The sequence below is a fragment of the Homo sapiens genome, chromosome 21 (genome assembly GCF_000001405.40).
Source record: "Homo sapiens chromosome 21, GRCh38.p14 Primary Assembly".
Lineage (NCBI taxonomy): Eukaryota > Metazoa > Chordata > Mammalia > Primates > Hominidae > Homo > Homo sapiens.
In genome coordinates this window covers 18,276,589-18,297,926 of record NC_000021.9, presented here as the reverse complement: position 1 = coordinate 18,297,926, position 21,338 = coordinate 18,276,589, and the positions used below count along the sequence as shown (strand labels likewise).

Here is a 21,338-nt window from a genome sequence, read left to right as displayed (position 1 = left end):
GTTTTAATGTCCATAGCATTAAGGAACTGAAAGTCTAACTTATGGTCTTTTCTTTATGCTTTTGTTTTGTCTGTATGCTTTTTTCTTTTTTCTCTAGGAGTGGAAACTCATCAAAGCCAATCTTCCCTACCGATGGTGGACCATTTGTCAAATTAAACACAGCACCTGATGGCCACTTAATACTAACACCCAGGTGGGTCCCTAAATCTGTTCTTAGACTAGTTGTACATAGACATGGCAGAAGATAGATTGTTGAAGCCAGTCAGATTTGAATGCTATTACATACTGGTCATATAATCTTGAAAGTTATTTGACTTATATTATTATTTAAGTAATCTCAAACAGTATCTATTTAATATCTGATAACAGTTTCTAACCCTAATACATATAAGATGGTCAAAAGAAATATTCTGTATGTAAATTTCTGGCACACTCATAGGGATTTGACATGTTTTAATTTTATACCCTTTTTTATCATTAGCCTCAGATTAATAAATAATTAAATCACTTGGAAAGAAATTGTGAGAACTGGGATAAAACAGGTCCAGTGTTGATCAGACTGGAGGCAGACCAAATTAGCTACCACTAAAAGAGAAGAAAGAGGGGAATATCTTGATATTCTTTTCTCTTCCTTGGCAAATAGATCATGAATATTAAATGAAGAAGTCTAGACCTTTCATCGTGTCTACATATTCTCTTTTACTTTTTGATATTAGGTTTACTTTTATAGCCTTTACTAAGGTATTAAAAAGCAGCATCTTTCCTGTATTCAAAGATCTGTTTTAGCTAAATTAAGTCATTTCTCCTATTTGGGTATTAATGGTAATTTTTGTTGAAATTGGCTTCTGAATTTTACAGTTCCATTAAAGAACAGCTGTGGGTGGGAAGAATGTAACTGCAAGAAGCCATAACTACAAACAAGGATTTAAGATGCTTTGCTGGTATATTTTGTTTCATGGTAAAAAATGAAATTAGATAATTATTCAGTTTTTCATGAAAAGTTAACATTTCTGTGAGCTTAACCAGTAAAAAAATAAAAATGGTAAAGGAGTATTTTGAGTACCAAAAAAAGAACTTTGCAGTTGAATGTTTTATATCAATGTTTGCTGGGCCTTGACTGATATTATGAGTCTCATCGGATATGAAGCAAAGCATCTGCAAATGAGAAAGCAGGCTTCTAGATTTCCTTTCCTGTAAGGCGTGTCTAAATTTATATTACCATATAGATCCTGAAGCAGTTTGAACATTGAGAATTTCTTCTTTTCACGTCTTAGAGGCATTTAAAAATTTGTAAGAAAAAATTATTTAAAATCATTTATGTTAATTATATGCATGCTTGAGATCAAAACTAGCTTATTCTATGCTTATCAACGAAATGCCAGTATCATTTTCCATTGACGTCACTATTATAATGTATGTGTGTGCTATTTGAGAGAGACATCATTTATAGACATATTTTAACCTTTCATCACATCAACAAGCCAGTTAATTAAATGTCCTTAATCCCTTCCTTAATTAGCCACATTATATTGGGTTGGCAGAAAATCAGACATATGTTCATTTATTTATTTGGTTAATTTATTTATGCATTTATTATTTATTGCATAGATGATTATGTTTGTATCCCTATGAAAACTGGTGTTTTTGAAAATGCCCTTGCGCTAGTGGTTGTAATAAAAAATAGGTAAAAGAAGAGGATGTCAGGGAAAATGATTCAGCCAACTATAAAAATCTACTGACCTATATGCTGATTCTTTATTTTTTTTCTTTTTTTGAGACGGAGTCTCGCTCTGTTGCCCAGGCTGGAGTGCAGTGGCGTGATCTCGGCTCACTGCAAGCTCCACCTCCCAAGTTCCCACCATTCTCCTGCCTCAGCCTCCCAAGTAGCTGGGGCTACAGGTGCCCGCCACCACGCCTGGCTAATTTTTGTGTATTTTTAGTAGAGACGGGGTTTCACCGTGTTAGCCAGGATGGTCTCGATCTCCTGACCTCGTGATCCGCCCGCCTCCGCCTCCCAAAGTGCTGGAGTTACAGGCGTGAGCCACCGCGCCCGGCCTATTCTGATTCTGTAACCTATTGTGAGATATATGCAGACTCAGACCACCACCTCCCACCACAGGGTGAAAAAAAGGGGAGTTAATTGAGACTTCCTTGGGGTGTTAGAAATACATGTCAATATATCTAGATTGATATACATGCATGCACACTAGTTACTAAAAAGATAGACTTCCTTATATTTCAACTAAAATCATTCTGTGTTGTAAAGAATATGCCAGTCATTCAATACGTATACATATGATTTCAAATAAACTTTATCATATATTTTCCTGAAACACTGAATTGCTTTGATTAGACGTGTGGATCTTAGGTCTTATTTACGTTGCATTTTTAAAGATCTAAACAGCATGCACAATTAGCTGTAGCTAAGTATATAAATGTAAGTAAGTCATTACAATTATTTGTGTATCTGCATGTATAATGTGTGTGTTTTAATGTAGCCGATATCTGCAGTGGTTGCATTTGGAAATAGTGGGAGCAAGTACTCTAATTTCTTGTGTTATACTGATCTCTAGTGGCTGATAAGTATAATGCACTGTAAAACAAATTTGCTTAGTTTTTGTTTAAAATGGAATTCTTGACACTGAAAAAAGTTGGTATTTAAATTTCTAAGCAGGTGATGAGTTTTCAGTAATTTTTGCCTGTGCTTTCTTTTATATGTGCTTCTTACGTGTCTGCCTTCCTTGAAAGCAGCACCTGTGACGCATTCATCATTCAATTCCCTGAATGAAGCACACAGCCTCATACACGGTGTTGGGCACGGAATAGTTGTCAGATTGGCAATACTGAGGCATACTCTGTGTTATAGAATGATGAAAACCAATGTCGGTTCAAGTAACATAACAATATCTATCATTTATAGAATTTCATTGTGTATAAGGCCCTGTAATAGTTTTATTGCAAATATTGCTTTTTATTCTCACAACACTCCAATAAAGTATTATTACCCCCATTTTATGGAAGAAGAAACTGGGTCTCAGGGATATTGAGTAACTTCCCTGAAGTCACATAGAAATGGTAGAATAAGGATGCAAACTCACCTCTATTTGACATTAAACTGGGGCTTCTTCGGCTTACAATTCAGTCTCCCTACATTTCATATATGAGACATTAAGATGTCCATTTTACTAAAGCAAAAGTAGGATAACCTATATGATGTTTGACTTGAAAATATTAAATGCATAATTTTAAAAATATGATTGTTCTTCTATTACAGTCAACAGTGTTTACAGGATTCCTTGATTCGGTTACAGTGTAACCATAAATGTAAGTAAATATGTTGTCATATCCCACTTCAAGCATTCTGTTTAAAATTCTGAATAGAGTTTTATGTCACCTGAAGTTATTTTGTTACCACTCAATTTTCACCATCAGAAGAAATGCCAAAAATGAAATAGATGCTCTTTCTCCAATTATTTTAATAGCTTGTGGAAAAAAACTGGCAGCTCAAGACATCACCCCAAAGATTGTTGGAGGAAGTAATGCCAAAGAAGGGGCCTGGCCCTGGGTTGTGGGTCTGTATTATGGCGGCCGACTGCTCTGCGGCGCATCTCTCGTCAGCAGTGACTGGCTGGTGTCCGCCGCACACTGCGTGTATGGGTGAGTGTGATGTCAAGTGTCCCTTCCCAAACTAGGTCACCACAGCAGACACTGCCAAGCGTCCCATTTCATGCAGCATCACAAAACCATCCCACCAGGGAAATCCTGCTGTTTATGACATTATAAACATTCCAATTATTTTCCCATTAATGTCATGTATGAAAATAGAGATACATTTTAAAAAATTATCCTGCATTAGATATGAATATTAATTCTTCTACATTAGATATTACATCATTAGATCTTTTTACACTTTTACATACATAAAAATGGAAACTTTTGCCAATTCAAAAGGTAAGCATTTTTAAGAGCGTGAAATTAGTATTTATTGTATAAATTGTACTGGTTACCATTCAATTTGTCCAATATTTATTGCTAGCAAATTGTCAGTATCAGTATTCTTAGGTAGCCCTCAAATTACAATTATACTGTGCTCTGGAAGTTCATGGATAAGCACTTTGTTGTGAATTAAGATAAAAGTATTTAGTTCTTAAGTCAGATCTATTTTGATTGCTACCTATTAACTGAAATTTAGAACTAATATCAACCGTATCTGACTCTGTTTTATACTATAATAGGACAAGATAATGTTGAATTTTGACATTTATTTTGCAGTCCTAGAGGAGAGAACAGAGTGGATGGAAGGGGGTGGGAGTAAAGGAGGAAAAGCTAAATGATCCTGGACCCAAGAACATGTTCATGCTCCTCTTCCACATCAAAGATGCCACCTCTCTAGATAGTCACATGGTTCTGAATTCAGTCAGGAGAAAAGGGAGCTTCCTCATATAATACGTATGAGCTTGATCTAGGACTCATCTCCTGTCCCTATGTCAGTGAGGTGTCCAGTGAATGACCTTACCCATGAGGATTAGAGTAAGCCTCTCTGTAGCCAGGATCCAGAACCTCAGAGGAAAGAACCATGTTAGAAAGAACCAGGCATTGACGAGGAAAGAACCGGGCATGGACGAGGCAGCCGTAGTTAATCAGGTTACAAGACTCAACTTTCCTTACCCACATAGATATTTAAGATCCTTGGGTAAATGAAGACCAACTGTCAGACACAGAGATTGTGAAAATTTTAAAGGAGATGGGGAATGCCAGGTAGAATGAACATTAAAAGATTGCACTTATGCCTAAATACCCATTATATCAGAGTGAAAGTAGACTCAAATGCATAATCCCAGGACTTTGGAGAAAAAGGACCCTCAACTAGCTCTCAGGTTTGCCAAATAGCTGGTCTCCAAAGGAGCTACCGACAGCACCATCCCATCTACATCTAAAGCTCTCTCTGATTCTATCCATTGAGTGTTACATCCTGGAGACTAAATTGCAGCCTCTCCCTTAACTAAAGTGCACCCTCTTGACTTTGCTGCCTCCTAATAATCATATTGTAATTTATTTTCATACTATAACAAGCGTCTGTAGAGGCAATTTTTCCATCCCCTTCTAAACATGGCTTTAATCTTTACACATGTTGTTTGCGTTGGACATGTCACGGATAGCATAACATCTGTATCCTAACTGTGATGCAAATTAAAGCTAGTTTTAGCTAAAAAGTCAGTGTTTTCTGTTGCACATAGGTAGATCTTAATAAGTTAGCAACCTTGCTATATCAACCTTGAATTTGGCAAATTCCTGTTTAATGTTCTTGCCAAACATATGCTGTCTAAACATCAATCAGGCTCGCAGTAATATTAGTGATGTCTTTCAATTATCTATTTTACAGATGTACTTCTAATAGGTTAATGATACCAATCTCATAGCTTTTCAAACAACAAATATGTGTAGAAAATAGAAAGGCAGTTTTACCTAGTATAAACACATGTCCAATTGTTACCAGAGAAAAGGAATCCAGATCCAGGTGCCAAGAGAGGATTCTTGGATCTCACACAGGAAGGAATTCAAGGCCAGTCGCAGAGTGCAGTGCAAAAAGATCGTTTATTGAAAGCTCCTGAGTCACAAAGTAGGGCATCCTTAGAAAGCAAGAGAAGGAACGCCCTGTCTTTAAGTTTTTCTTCTATGGGGGTCTTGTCTATGTAAATACTAAACTAGGCTGTGTCTACATGAGAGTAACCTTGACAAAATTTATTATTCCATTGATTTGGAGAAAACAATCCTTGACATTGCAGTGTGTAAGTACATCAAAGCATAATTATCTTGAAAGCATATATTGTTATGGGTGTTGATACATTTGGACTTTCCATTGTAGGAATGTGTCCTCGTAGGTATCTTTAGGCTGCTTCCTCAACAATAAACATTTTATGACTATGGGTCATGACCAGCAAGGAATGTGTCTTGTTAGTCTCAAGATGGGGCTGAACTTAAAATGGTGTTACTTTGGCTCTCCTAGGCTCCTGCTTCTCTCACACAATCACATAGGACAATAAAATGTCTTTTCAGTTTCAACTTAAGCACAAGCAAAGGTAAGTTGTACTAGAATTCTGATAAATTCAAAATTATCCTTACCAACCACGCATTTTACTCTCCTTAGGCATTCAATGGAATTATTTTTTTTTTCTCTAATGCCTAAGAGTTTTCTTGCTTTCTACTTCATGTCTCTAACAAAGAAAGTTTCTGATATTGTTTTAGATAGTTTAATCAAAAACTGTTTTATCAGTATGTTAATACTGGCTCTTATCTGTCTCTTTAAAAGCCTAATTGTGCTATGGAAAGCTTAATTTCCTAATAAAAAGAATAACTCAGATCAAGCAAGTTATTAAACTCATGCCACACAAGTGGCTTGCCCTCAGTGTAAACCTGTTCCAGGTATTTTAACCTGCAGGTGGTTAAATGGTTTAATTGAACAGCTCTTCTGTTTAATCTTATCATCAACACTTCATTTGCATTCCTCAGGCTAAGTTCTCCTGAGTGATTCTAAATAACCCTGTGCCTGTTCGGTTTCTCTATCGTGGTATTGTCCTTTCACAACCTTAAAAGAAGGATTTGGAAGTGTGGGCCAACCTTCCTGTGGCTTAAAGGGCAAGTTTGACTTTGAACCAAAGGAGAGGATTTTAATCCTGTATGTCCAACAAATCACATGTGTGATTATGGACAAGCAACTTAGTATCTCTAAGTTTCCGTTTCCTCATCTGTAGGAAGCTCATAAGGATATCTATCTTGCTTGTCAGGACAACAATAAGATGCTGCAATGCTTTTGCCTACTGCGATTCATGCAAGAATGTGCAATAAAATGTTGATTGTGTTGCAGTTCCTGCATAGGAAAGCTCTATGAAAGAAGACGCCAAGTCTTGCACAATAGATATTCAACATATTTATTTTATGAAATTTTTATATTGATATAATTTCAAACATGCATAAAAATTGCAAAAATAGTGCAGAGCTCTTTATACCTTTACTCAGACTCACCAATTGCTTACATTTTCCTCTGTATATTTTATTATCATCTCTTTCTAAGTCAGGAGACTTTTTTTTCTGAACAATTTCGTAGTAGGTTAGATGTATTTTTATACTCTTAAGTACTCAGAGTATTTTTACTAAAAACAGGACACTTCCTACAGAATCACAGCAAATCATGGAAATTTAACATTAATGAAATACAATCCTAATTAATTTCACAAATATGCTCTTTATTTTGTTTGCATGTTTGCCATGTTAGAACCAATTCAGGATAGTGTATTGCATCTGGATGCTACACTTTTTTCATCTCCTTTAGTGTAGAGTAGCCCCTTTCTGTATTTCTTGTTTTTAATATTTTTGAATACAGGTCAGTTATTAGGTAGGAAAATTCTTCTATTTGAAAAAAAAAAACCCTCAAGCTTGCTCCTTTATCAGCCTTAATATAGTCCTACTCTTTGAGAACTTCTTTTATTTTCTGTCAAAATAAGATGTTCCAGGTTAATCTTGTGTGTTTTCTATCCTAGTCCTGAAGTCAACTTTTCTGTAAGAAACCTTATTTCTATTTAACTAATTTCAGTTATTTCTGTATTTTGGTAAACATGATCTTGTGTGCTTATGGCTACTGATGTTGTGTCCTGTTCCTAAAACTATACAGTGAACAAAGCTCTATTATATACCTACAAATATATACTCAAAACAATGACTCCAACTCCAATAGAATACTACAGGATAAATCCTAACCTTGTCTTCTGTATTTTTACATCTTGATTCCAATAACAAAAAACATTGTTCCTATTATCCACAAGCTATTGATGTATTTGCTGAAGTCTGGAAAGCCTGGAACACAAAAAGGAGTTTGAGAATTGCTGACTCATACTACTGCATAAAGCACACGCATCAACCAAGGTTTCATATTTGTTTTCCATTCTTTTTTCCTGCTGACATATAGGAAAATGCATAAACTTAAGTATACAAATCGATGCATTTTTTAAATGCATGCACCTGTTAAACTGACATTCCTCTGAAGATATAAAACATTCCAATCACCCAAAAAGTTTCTCCATTACCTCTTTCTAGTCACTCACATCCCAGCTTCCAGAAGCAAATATGCAGTCACGTGGGTGGGCAATCATATATAGATTTACAGTCTGGATCACAGTCATTGAACGGACATCTATTAAAGATGAAATTAGTGACAGGGAGCCTCTTGCCAAGATCTCATTCTTTAATTTAGCTTTTCAGAGCAGACCAGAGACATCACAGGGATTACCTGATTTCTTATTGAAACAATTCCTTAAAATATGTGTTAACACTCCTGAAATAAATAATTTCATATATGAGGTATTTGGGGCATGGTAAGAAATACAGACTACTATTTATACTTCATTTATTTATTTATTGAGACAGAGTTTCACTCTTGTTGCCCAGGCTGGAGTGCAATGGCACGATCTTGGCTCACTGCAACCTCCGCCTCCCGGGTTCAAGCGATTTTCCTGCCTCAGCCTCCCGAGTAGCTGGGATTACAGGCATGCACCACCACACCCGGCTACTTTTGCATTTTTAGTAGAGACGGGGTTTCTCCATGTTGGTCAGGCTGGTCTTGAAAGCCCAACCTCAGGTGATCCGCCCACCTCAGCCTCTCAAAGTGCTGGGATTACAGGTGTGAGTCACTGTGCCCGGCCTATTTATAATTTATTTAGTACTCCATTTAGTAAACTGATATAACTAATAAAACTTTGAAAATCAACTTTTTAAACAGTTAAGCATTTATAATAAAATAACATTACTTAATTGATACCATAATTACCACTTAAAATTTGGATTTTTTTGAATGTCTCATGCTTTAAGCAGAACACAGGACATATATCAATTCAATAATTTTTAAATACTTAATTTCTTCTTAAACTTATCCTAAAATATACATATAATTAGTTTAATTTTATTTTTCTGTTTATCTACCTAGTCTTATTGTTCTAGGGAGTTAGGCTTGTAATATATAATGTTCTTCAGATTGAAGAAATACTATAATATCATTTTAAGATTATGGTAATATTTGCAGATAAAAAAGAGGAAGAGCGGCCGGGTGTGGTGGCTCATGCCTGTAATCCTAGCACTTTGGGAGGCCGAGGCGGGCCTGAGCTCGGGAGTTTGAGACCAGCCTGGACAACACAGTGAAACCCCGTCTCTACTAAAATACAAAAGAAATTAGCCAGGTGTGGCAGCATGCGCCTGTAGTCCCAGCTACTCGGGAGGCTGAGGCAAGAGAATTGCTTGAACCCGGGAGGCGAAGGTTGTGGTGAGCCGAGATCGCACCACTGCACTCCAGCCTGGGAGACAGAGCAACACAACACTCCATCTCAAAAAAAAAAAAAAAAAAAAAAAAAGGAAGAGCATTTTCTTAGGACAATAGAGACTTCTCTTTTAAATGCTATTTGTGTAAATGTATGGGGTACAAGTGTAATTTTGTTACATGGGTGGATTGCATAGTGAGGAAGTCAGGGCTTTTAGGGTATCCATCACCTGAATAATGTACACTCTACACATTAATTTCTTAATATCCACCCGCCTCCCACAGCGCCATCCTTCTAACTCTCTCTGATCTATCATTCCACACTTTATGTCCACTATACATTATTTGGCTCCCACTTATAAGTGGGAATATTTGAAATTTGTCTTTCTGCATGTGAGTTGTTTCACTTAAGATAATGGCCTCCAGTTCCATCCATGTTGCTGCAAAAGACATGATTTTATTCTTTCTCCTGGCTGAATAGTATTTCATTGCATATATATACCACATTTCTTTATCCAGTCGTCTGTTGATGAACACTTATGTTGATTCAGTATCTTTTCTATTGTGAATAGTGCTGTTATAAACACACAAATGCAGGTATCTTTTTGATACACTGATTTCTTTTCCTTTGGATTGATTCCTAGCAGTGGGAGTACTAGATCAAATGGTAGCTCTATTCTTAGTTCTCTGATAAATAGTCATAGACAGTAGAGATTTCAAGGGTAGGTTAGTAATATTGACTTTGGTTAGAGCTTAGGTCTTGGATCCTTTTCCAAAATATTTCAAGTTTGAGTGCTAGTCATCTTCCTAAAAGTTAATACTATCTTACTGTATCACTAAGACTTTTTAGATTTATGTCTTTATTAGAGGTTATATCAACTTCCAACCTTGTGTTTCCCTGTAAAATTGTGTTTCCTGTAAGTCTCTCTTGACCTATATCGTGCAATCCATTTCCTTGACACCATTCTATTACCACTATTTAATAACATATGTCTCTTTGGCATGTATCTCATTATAATTATTAGTGCACTCAGAAATTTCATTTCCTAAAAGTTTCTATCGTATCTCTCAAGTTACCTCTACTTTGATAATTAATTCATCATCTTGGATCACATTGTTGAGCCACCTTTTTTCTTAGTTATTTTGCATAACCACTTGTTACACAAAGAAGGAATATTTTAATATTTAGAGTTTGAGACTCTAAACATTAAAAAGAAAAAAGAGCTGGGTGGGGTGGGAGAAGACTGAGGAAGAACAGAGAGTGAAATTATGTGGATTGATACGCAACTCTGCCCGTTACCTGGCTGTTATGAGGAACCACTGGTAATATTCATTCCTTCCTGCTCTTGGATTGCTTACTGTTTTTTATATATCCATTCAATCAGATGACATTTGCTGAGCACTTATCCTGTGCTAAGTAGTTTTCTAAGTTTGGAGATGATAGTGCTGTACAGACCAACAAAATCTTTCCTCTGATAAGGTTTATATGACATGTTAAGGCTGAAAAACATTTAAATAAATACTTTAGCAGTGATACATGCAGTAAAGAAAAGTAGTATGAACAGAAAATATGATAAGAGCAAGAAGGTTGTTTTCGATACAGTGGTTGGAGAAAGTGTCACAGACCAATTGAAAATGGAAGGAAAATCTAAAGAAATGAAGGAGAATGTTACACAAATTTCTTTGAAGGTAACAGCAAACTCTGATGCTCTGGGGTAGAAGTGAGGTAGACTTACTCCAGACACCTCAAAAAGCCCTGCTGCTGTTGCCCAGAAGGGGATTGGCAGAGCGGCAGTGACGAGACTGGAACTATGGATCGAGCCCTGGAGAGGTCTCAGGAGGCTAAATAGGTAAATAGGATGAGGGACCATGTGGAGGACCAAAGAGTGACCTTATCCAATCAGGCTAATGTGTGAAGATGGGACTGCTGGGAGGAGCAAACGTGAAATCAGGGACACCAGTTAGGACCATAGCTGAAGAAGCTGAGGAAGTGGCTGGATCTTTTTAGTAAGTTCTGATGGTTAGAGTCATCTGCATTTATTAATGATCACAGATATGGAGTAAGGAAAAGAGAATGGAGTGAGTGTTGATATCATTTACTGAGATGAGGAAAACAGGAAGAAATCAGATTGGAAAGAGAGTGAGAGTTCTGATTTTTATATATTAAGCTTGGGACTGCCTATTAGACATCCAAGTTGGTATCAGCCAATGATGTCAGCCTATGGACATACAAATCTAGACTGTATGGAAGAAGTCAAGAATTAAAATACAAATTTAGAAGTTTTCAGTATATTGTAGGTATTTAAAATAATGACTTGGTTAAGATTATGTATGAGGCCAGTGTAGATATAAAAGAGAAGGCCGAAGGCAGACCCCTGGGATATTCTAAAATTTAGAGTTTAAGATGAACAAAAAAGACCTGGGGGAGAAAAAAAGACTGAGGAGGAACGGAGAGTGAAATGAAAGGAAAATCACAAGTGCATGGTGAATCCTGGAAGTCAAGTGAGGAAAAGAGTTCAAAGATGATTCCTTAAGTTTCAGGAATAATCTACCAAGTAAAATTATGCTCAGGAGTGTTTGGCCTATTTCTGGTTTGCTGTACTTACTTCTGTTTCTTACACTTACACAAATAAGCATATACCCATATTTTAAAAACAGATTTCTACTTAAAATTAAATAAAAATATTCACATATATGAAACTCTTGTCCTTACTCATGAAAAGGAAGAAAAATTAAACATATTCTTGTTGCCTACCCTCCTTTTATAATAAAACTACCTTTTGCACCTGTTAACTTTTCTCTTTTGAGTTTCATTGCAGACACATGGCCTTTCATAAACAACTCTTTTCTTTTAACTGTGGTAATGATAATGATCATTATATGAGAGTCACCTTGCTAAAACTTCGCCAGTGTTATTTCATTTAATCTGGCTTCTTTGTACTTTCAGAATTGCCCGATATTCTTGAAAACTTTCGTACTCTCTGGCAACAACACTATGTTTCAGAAACATTCTAACTTTCAGTTGCCTTAAATATTCGAATTGGCTAGCCATCTAGGAATCCTCATTACATTCAGAGGAGAATAAAAATAGAGACCAAAAATGCTGTGCTGGGTGTAAACATCAGTGTTGGCATGGTGCAAAGTTGTTGAGGTTGCTGTTGTGCCACCTTTAGTAATAGTAAAACAGGAAAAAGGTTTTAATTTACAGTTTTGGATTCCCATTGATTTTATTTTCCCTTCAGCCTGTTGTGATGCTCTATCATAGCTGTCTTACCATATTTGCTTTCTACTGCATTGAAAGTCCCACTTACAAATGGACATCCTGATGCCTAGAGTGGTGAAGTTATTTTCACATCAGCACATTGCCACATATATCTGAGGTACCACTAGTTCATCTTATCTGGTGCTGCTTCTGCATCTCAGGAAATGGGAAAAAAGCATCTTTTTTTCAAAGAAGCATCTTTGGGGTTACAGAGACCAGGAGTGTATGTTTTTCTGCCCTCTCCAACCTGCTGTGCTTCTCTTTCTCTTGCTACTATGATAAATGTCTTGCTTGTGCAGGACAGATGGTGAAATGCAGCAAAAATTCAGCCAACTTCTTTTTTTTCTCTTTTTTTTTTTTGGGCAGAGTTTTGCTCTTGTCACCCAGGCTGGAGTGCAATGGCACAAATTCAGCTCCCTGGAACCTCTGCCTCCCGGGTTCAAGCAATTCTCCTGCCCCAGCCTCCTGAGTAGCTGGGATTACAGGCGTGCACCACCACGCCTGGCTAATTTTTGTATTTTTAGTAGAGACGGGGTTTCACCATGTTGGCCAGGACGGTCTCGAACTCCTGACCTCAGGTGATCCACCTGCCTCGGCCTCCGAAAGTAAATTCAGCCAACTTCTATCTGAAGATGCCCTATCTTTGCGATCTTTATCCTCCACCGGATTGGGGATTTCCTATTCCAGGTGGTTCTCACCTTCTCCTATGCCCATCTATCTTCAGCGCTATAGCTCTTCCTTCCTTTACTAGAAAAGAGATGCTTTGAGACCAGATTTTAAAAACATAAAAAGTCCCATCTCTTCATCTAAAATGATTTTTCTGAAGGCTGTCTTCACCTGCCCCTCAGATTTGGGTATATAAAAAAGCTAGGAAGTTTTCTGCATTGCTCAGTATCCCAACAGTGATTACAAAGTACAGATTGTTGAGTGCCACTCCAACTTTCCAAATTAGAATTTCTGGAAATGGAAACTAGAAATCTAAAGTTTTAGAAACTTCCTCAAGTGGCTCTAGAACTTAAGAACTATTGGCTGTAAGCTCTGTATTCTCCAGTCATTTTCCACCGAGGAAAAGCTCTAAAATTACTGCCAGATGGAGTAGTACTGGTGGTGCTTGTGCTAGTGTTGGTTTTGTGGTGGGGAAGTTAAGTGCATGACAGAAAGGTTTGTGGAGCAGCCTTTCTCTTTGAAGGAAAGATGTAAATGATACATGGCGGCGGAATTTTTCCTATCCATGGTGCTGCTCATAGATACTGAAGTAATAAAAACATGAAAGAGAGGCTATTTTCTATGTGGCACAATAAACAATTTTGGAAATTATCAAGAATGTGTCAGATTAATATTGTTGTAAATTGTATTAAATTAGATGAGTAGCTTGAAGCACGTATATTTAATCTGCACGTTCCTGGTTCATATATTGGTTTTCTACTCAAGTCCTTAAAATAATGAAAGGAAGTGATGATTACTAAACTATGTTACCTACAAGCTCTCTCATATCAGTGATTATGTTGATTAGTTCTCAGATAAAGTATAGTATTTACAAAGAAGAATTTGGGAGTTTAGATGCTCTTTCTCTGAAATACCTTAATTTAACATTTATTTAAATCTATATCAAATAAACTGCATGCACCTCTCTGAACTTCTATATGAAAAATTCTGAAGATAAAATATGTATAAAACACCTGAGGAGACAATCCTATAATTTTTAATAATGACATGTCCTCTGTTAACTCCAACTTATATATAATGATCTCATACACTGTGAGCAAATATTAATAGTTCATTAATATAGGTAATATTTATATAGATAATTTATATACATACACTATAAATTATAAATACTATTACAATACATTGGTTATATGAATATAACAGAGAATATGATGTATAAATAAATTTAATAAAATGCCAAACACAAAACATACGGTATAGTAATTGTAAGATTAATTTTTTGTAAATATTGAGTGAATGTGTGAGGTAAATGTTGAGTAAAAAAAAAATCATACAATTTTTAAAATAAAGTAACTACTTGTTACCTGTCAGTCTTAACAGGCAGGCTACTCAAGTGAAAACTGACCAGTTGAGCTTTAGGAAATATACTTAACATGTGATAGAGAAAGAAGTTCAGAAACAGAACACCAGGGAAGAGATTTGGCTCTGTTCACTCTCCCTACATAGGCTAAAGTAGACACGGGAATCCCAGGGTACAGTGGAAGTGGGGTGCTGTCTGAAATTATCAAGATGCCAAGCATGGCTGAAGTACAGATTCCTCTGACCTGGAGAAGAGAAAGCACGAAGACCTCTTGTCAAGCCTGTACAGCACCATAATGACCTCCTGGCCCAGTCTCTAAGCCACTTAAGGAGCTGCCACCAACCACTAGGAGCAGAGATAACTTCCCCTATGTGGGAGCAGGGAAAGCAACAGCAGAGCTTATCTCTCCCTCTTGCCCCCCACATCTCCAGTCCTTCCTTCTAGTTCTCAATCCCTCCCATGGCACCCCACTCAGAGCTGTATGAGGCACCCCAGTCACTGGTGTTAAGTGCAGGCTCTAAAGTCAGACAGCTCCAATTAAAGTCACCTCCTACCATTTAGATAATCAGCGCCTAGTTTGTTCCCATTGTAAAATTATGATGAGGATTAAATGAAGAGATACAAAAGTTCTCGGTATTGCACTTGGCACCAAGTAGTATTTTGTTGCTACAGAGCACTTAGGTGTATTTCTTCAAGTTCTAATGCAATGTGGTTGTCAGTGGATGCTTTACTGAATGCTTGGACGCTCACTGGCTTTACTGATGACTGCTACCTGACCAAACATAGTAATTTGGTAAATAAAACAAAGTGATAGATAGATGTAAGTAACTTCATGCCCTTTATACATCTGGAAGTGACTTGGACTTTAATATTTAAATACCACATTAAACGAGGCATTTGCGACTGTTAAGAATTGAATCAATAGCTCTGCCTAGGATTGCAACCATTGAATTTTACCTTCATTGTGAATATGGCTTAACTGGCTTAATTCCAGCTGATAATTCCTTTGTGTGAAGAAATCGCAGGCCAATAGCACATTTAAAAGTCCTTGCACACTTTCAAATTATAATATACTACCCAATTTAATCTGTTCTACAACACAAGTGTTATCCTTTACCAATTATTATAGATGGCCAACATTGTATATGGAGATTATTCAAGTTTATATGTTAGATTATAAAAATTATAATAAGGCATACTGTTTACTTTTTTTTTTTTTTTTTTTTTTTTTTTTGAGGCGGAGTCTTGCTTTGTCTCCCAGGCTGGAGTGCAGTGGCGCAATCTCGGCTCACTGCAAGCTCCGCCCCCCGGGTTCACGCCATTCTCCTGCCTCTGCCCCCCGAAGTAGCTGGGACTACAGGCGCCCACCACCACGCCCGGCTGATTTTTTGTATTTTTAGTAGAGACGGGGTTTCACCGTGTTAACCAAGATGGTCTCGATCCCCTGACCTTGTGATCCGCCCGCCTCGGCCTCCCAAAGTGCTGGGATTACAGGCGTGAGCCACCGCGCCTGGCTTGTTTACTTTAACTATATGTGAATTCAATGACTCTCTAAATGGGAAATGCATCTGAACTTCCTTCCATTATACTACAGTTGCTAGCTACAGTTGTCTGAAAAAGCCCTTAACAGGGACACAATTTCCACAGTGAAATGTGACCTAAGGCAGAGGTTCTCCAACCTAGCCATATATTATATATAGTAGCACAAATTTGGAGATTTAATTTTAGAAGTATTTTTTAAATTGTCTGGTGGACTATTCCAGACCCAGTACATTAGAATCGGGGGAGGAGGGGAAGTAGGTGTCAGCATTATTTAAAAGCACCTCACGAGATTGCAATGTACAACCACAGTTGAGAACCACAATCTAGAACTAGAGCTCAGCATATAACTTAAGAGGAGTGAAACAGAGAGATTAGCACTAATTAGGGTTTTCTTTATGTTGTGATCAGAAAAATAAAGATTTGAGAATATTTTTAAAGGATGATTCTTCAGAGAAATTAAAGAACATTTCAGGATAGAAACATATTCTGAAATGTCATGATGAAGATCTTCTAGAAAGGAACTGCTTTGGATGGAGAGTGTCTCATATTTCTTCATTACAATTTTCAGGAGAAACTTAGAGCCATCCAAGTGGACAGCAATCCTAGGCCTGCATATGAAATCAAATCTGACCTCTCCTCAAACAGTCCCTCGATTAATAGATGAAATTGTCATAAACCCTCATTACAATAGGCGAAGAAAGGACAACGACATTGCCATGATGCATCTGGAATTTAAAGTGAATTACACAGGTAAAAAAAAAAAATCACTCTTAGTCATCTTATCTGCCAAAATTAATTCAAAACTAGATTTCAAATATTATCAATGTCAATGCATTAATTCATAAAAGCTAGATAATTTGTTACATAAATCATTGGAACTTAAATGGGATTAGGGAGTAGAGAGAAATATATTAAATTTCTTTCATCAGGATGTTTAAATTCAACTTTCCAGAAAGAACCAGTAGAATAAAACTCTCTGAGCCCTGTATAACAGTAAACTCAAAGGAGAAGCTCAGATAAATAGATGATGTTATTATGCATGCCCTCTCTATTTTTCATGTAAAAGAAAGGTAGGTTCATCTACCAAAAAGCAGAGTAAGACATAAACTGAGAGAAGAACACATGTTCTGTGGGGAAAGTGAGCAAGAATTAAGTTATTCATAGAAGGAAGTTTGGTTTTTTGTTGTTTTGTTGTTTTTTTTTTTTTTTTTTTTGAGACGGAGTCTCGCTCTGTTGCCCAGGCTGGAGTGCAGTGGCACAGTCTTGGCTCGCTGCAACCTCTGCCTCCCAGGTTCAAGCAATTCTCCTGTCTCAGCCTCCCAGGTAGACTACGGGTGCATGCCATGATGCCCAGCTAATTTTTTTTCTTGTATTTTTAGTAGAGATGGGGTTTCACCATGTTGGCCAGGATGATCTCGATCTCTTGACCTTGTGATCCACCCACCTTGCCCTCCCAAAGTGCTGGGATTACAGGCGTGAGCCACCGTGCCCGGCCTTCATAGGATGAAGTTTTTAATGGAGATTCGATAATATTATCTGAGTGACAAATGAAGGACTTCCTCCAAATGCCTGGAAAATGTGCAAGAAATCCCCTGATAAAGTGAATTTTATCATGAAGGGCTCTGCTCAATTCTGACTTTTATTCCTAAGTCTTTTTCAGTGCCCGGTTAGGAGAAAGTGCTGCCATCTCTGTGTTTTCATGGGGTTTGATTTATACATGCATTACAGCACTTATCAAAAGCAGACTATTGCTACGGTTAGTTGTATATCCCTGTCCTTAAGGATAAGCACTGTGTCTTATTCATTTTTGTGTCTGCCCTAGGTCTTACATGCAGTGGGTGCTTAAGGGTGCCAGTTGGCTTGTAAATTGATGCAAGAAGGGCTTTAAAAGTCAGTGACCAATGTCAATGCTTCCATAATTGCCCTGTAAAACAATCTCCTAAAAGCTTTTTTAACATGGTGATAATTGGGGAAAATAAAAAAGTCTCAGAACATTTGCCCAAATTTCTATTAATTGATGCTGAAAATCATCCTTACCATAATTTTCAGAGAACTGGCACCACTTTCTATTGAGCACCATAATTTTATTTAAAAATAAAATATAAATGATTACCTCCAGAACTAAGACATTTTTTACACTATAAAAGAGAAATGAGGGCCGGGTGCGGTGGCTCACACCTGTAATCCCAGCACTTTGGGAGGCCGAGGTGGGCAGATCACGAGGTCAGGAAATCGAGACCATCCTGGCTAACACAGTGAAACGCCATCTCTACTAAAAAAAAAAAAATACAAAAAAATTAGCCAGGCGTGGTGGCGGGCGCCTGTAGTCCCAGCTACTCGGGAAGCTGAGGCAGGAGAATGGCGTGAACCTGGGAGGTGGAGCTTGCAGTGAGCTGAGATCGCACCACTGCACTCCAGCCTGGGCGACCGAGTGAGACTCCGTCTCAAAAAAAAAAAAAAAAAAAAAAAAAAAAAAAAGAGTAACGAGGAGACTAGTAAAAGACCCTAAAGGGCCACCAGTGGTAGCCGATCTATTGTCAAAAAGTGCTGCTCTGAAATGCCTATTTCCCCTAAGACCGATGTCTAAAATTTTTACAGGTAGGATTAAAAAAAAAAATACATGTTTTTTAGATTAACTGTTATTGATTTTTAAAACTTGTTAGAAATGCTTGTAAATCTGTTCTTTCTTTTTCTTCGTTTGTTCGTTTTGCTGTTTGCTTGTTTTTCCAGATTACATACAACCTATTTGTTTACCGGAAGAAAATCAAGTTTTTCCTCCAGGAAGAAATTGTTCTATTGCTGGTTGGGGGACGGTTGTATATCAAGGTAAATTATCAGACTCAAAAAAAAAAAAAAAAAAAAAAACCTTACTGGTGAAAAACAGACTGTCATAATATCCTGTGAATGCTTTCAACATCTTTGCAATTCTTATATAACAGTTTTTTCAATATCTCCTAAAAGTACCGTCAAGCATGTACATATATATATTTAGAGTTGTGTATCTGTAGAGCTTTCAAAGATATACTTGCAGAGTTTTTATATTTGTAGGATTTTGTTTGTTTGTTTTTGAGACGGAGTCTCGCAATGTGGCCCGGGCTGGAGTGCAGTGGCGCCATCTTGACACACTGCAAACTCCACCTCCCGGGTTCACGCCATTCTCCTGTCTCAGCCTCCCAAAGTAGCTGGGACCACAGGCGCCTGCCACCATGCCTGGCTAATTTTTTTTGTATTTTTAGTAGAAACGGGGTTTCACCATGTTGGTCAGGATGGTCTCGATCTCCTGACCTCGTGATCCGCCTGCCTTAGCCTCCCAAAGTGCTGGGATTATAGTCGTGAGCCACCGCGCCCAGCCTATATATTTGTAGAGTTTTTAAAAATTTCTTCAGATTGCATAGAAGATATTATAAAACTATATTCTTTTGACGGGGAATTCAAGTGTCCCCAACCTCAATATCTAGTTTTAGTATTATAAACACTCTGATAAACTTAAAAGCCTCATTAAAATGAATATAAACTAGGGTTACAAAAATTTATTTTTGTAAAGCACATGATAAAGTCTCATCAAAAGCCAAATTATTACCTGTCACATTTTCCAAACTAATAAAACTATCTTTATTTATAATGTGAAGGCCTCACACTCAACATTTTCTTAAAATGAGAATGGAATCTCTTGTAACTTGAACATGCTAATTCTGCTTACTGACAAGAGGGCTCAGATTTGACATGAATCTTACATTGTATCCATCAGTTGATACACCATTCACCCCCAGCATCAACTGCATGTTTTCCAAACACAGAAATCATACATATTAAAAATAATCATACTTTTTTTTGAAAAGTATTCTCGTACTTCATACCCTCTAAATGTAACCACAAGGCTCATTGGCTGTGGAATTTCTAATAGGAGTGCCCTAGCTGGGACAGAGTTTTAACCACTCATAAATAATAAAGCACCAGAAAAGGCTCTGTAGTCTGATAAGAGAACCTGATCCCTGCAGTCACAACAAATTATAGCCATGATGTTTAAAAGTCCTAAATGTATTTAAGATGAAAATGCAGAAAATCTTGTGGAAAGGTAGAGGGTCTCAGAATCAAAGTACTCACATTTAAAATGTCGTTACCTATTATAAGAGAAAGCACAAAGTTCTAAGTCAAATGCTTTTCTGATAACTCCTACAAAAGTTCTTCACAGCAATGACACTGTATTGCTGAAAATGCCTCATGTCTGCTGTCCATCAAGTATATTGAAGTCAAAGACTGTATATTCATATATTTCTCCCTCTTGAAAAATATTATGATTTATTAAACTTCAAATTTAAACAGTAAAAATGATTCCTAGATAGATATTTTCTCTTTTCAGACTTCAAGCTAAAAGACATTTTATGACCACAGTGTAGGCTCTTCAAAAACAAATTAACCAATAACAAAATTTGAAACTCTTTATTTCATAGGAAGTTTTTTTTGTTTTTGGATTTTTTTTAAAAGCTGAGTAAATGTGACTTACGTTTACTTATTGTTACTAAAGATATATGTCTGATTAACTTAAGAAAGTCTCTAAGAGTGGTATGGAGCCAGGAAATAAACTGTATCTGAGATCAATTTCATTTAGGAATAAACAGCTAGATCATGTTTAAATATTTCTTGAGTGATGGTAAGTTTCACGTAGTTTATGAACTTTGCTTTATGACTTCCATCTACTTAATTTCATAAAATCCCAGTTTTCTGGCCGGGTGCGGTGGCTCATGCCTGTAAACCCAACACTTTGGGAGGCTGAGCCGGGCAGATCACCTGAGGTCAGGAGTTTGAGACCAGCCTGGCCAACATGGTGAAACCCCGTCTCTACTTAAAATACAAAAAAAAAATTAGCCAGGCGTGGTGGTACACACCTGTAATCCCAGGCTACTCGGGAGGCTGAGGCAGGAGAATCACTTGAACCCAGGAGGCGGAGGTTGCAGTGAGCCGAGATTGCGCCATTGCACTCCAGCCTGGAGGACAAGAGCTAGGCTTCGTCTCAAAAAAAAAAAAAAAAAAAAAGAATCCCAGTTTTCAATCTTTTGAGTATATTATACTAATTGATTAGCTAGGAAAACCATGAACATATTGTTCACTAGGAAGAAATGAGGTGATACTAGTTGGTTAAATCAAGGCAATCAGTAAACAGACACTGCTCAAATGTTCCTTTACCAAACAGTTTTATCATC

At 37.2% G+C, this 21,338-nt stretch overlaps 1 protein-coding gene across 8 annotated transcripts in view; it reads left to right on the top strand.

The window, feature by feature from the left end:
* The window catches only part of TMPRSS15 (transmembrane serine protease 15), a 216,769-nt gene that overhangs the window by 187,958 nt on the left and 7,473 nt on the right, over nucleotides 1-21,338 (top strand). For all 8 annotated transcript variants that reach the window (NM_001428057.1, NM_001428056.1, XM_047440913.1 and 5 more), the window contains 5 exons: nucleotides 98-193; nucleotides 3,275-3,324; nucleotides 3,483-3,657; nucleotides 16,706-16,887; nucleotides 18,868-18,963. In NM_001428057.1, coding sequence (NP_001414986.1) covers nucleotides 98-193; nucleotides 3,275-3,324; nucleotides 3,483-3,657; nucleotides 16,706-16,887; nucleotides 18,868-18,963 — 599 coding nt within the window. The remainder of the gene's footprint in view (nucleotides 1-97; nucleotides 194-3,274; nucleotides 3,325-3,482; nucleotides 3,658-16,705; nucleotides 16,888-18,867; nucleotides 18,964-21,338) is intronic.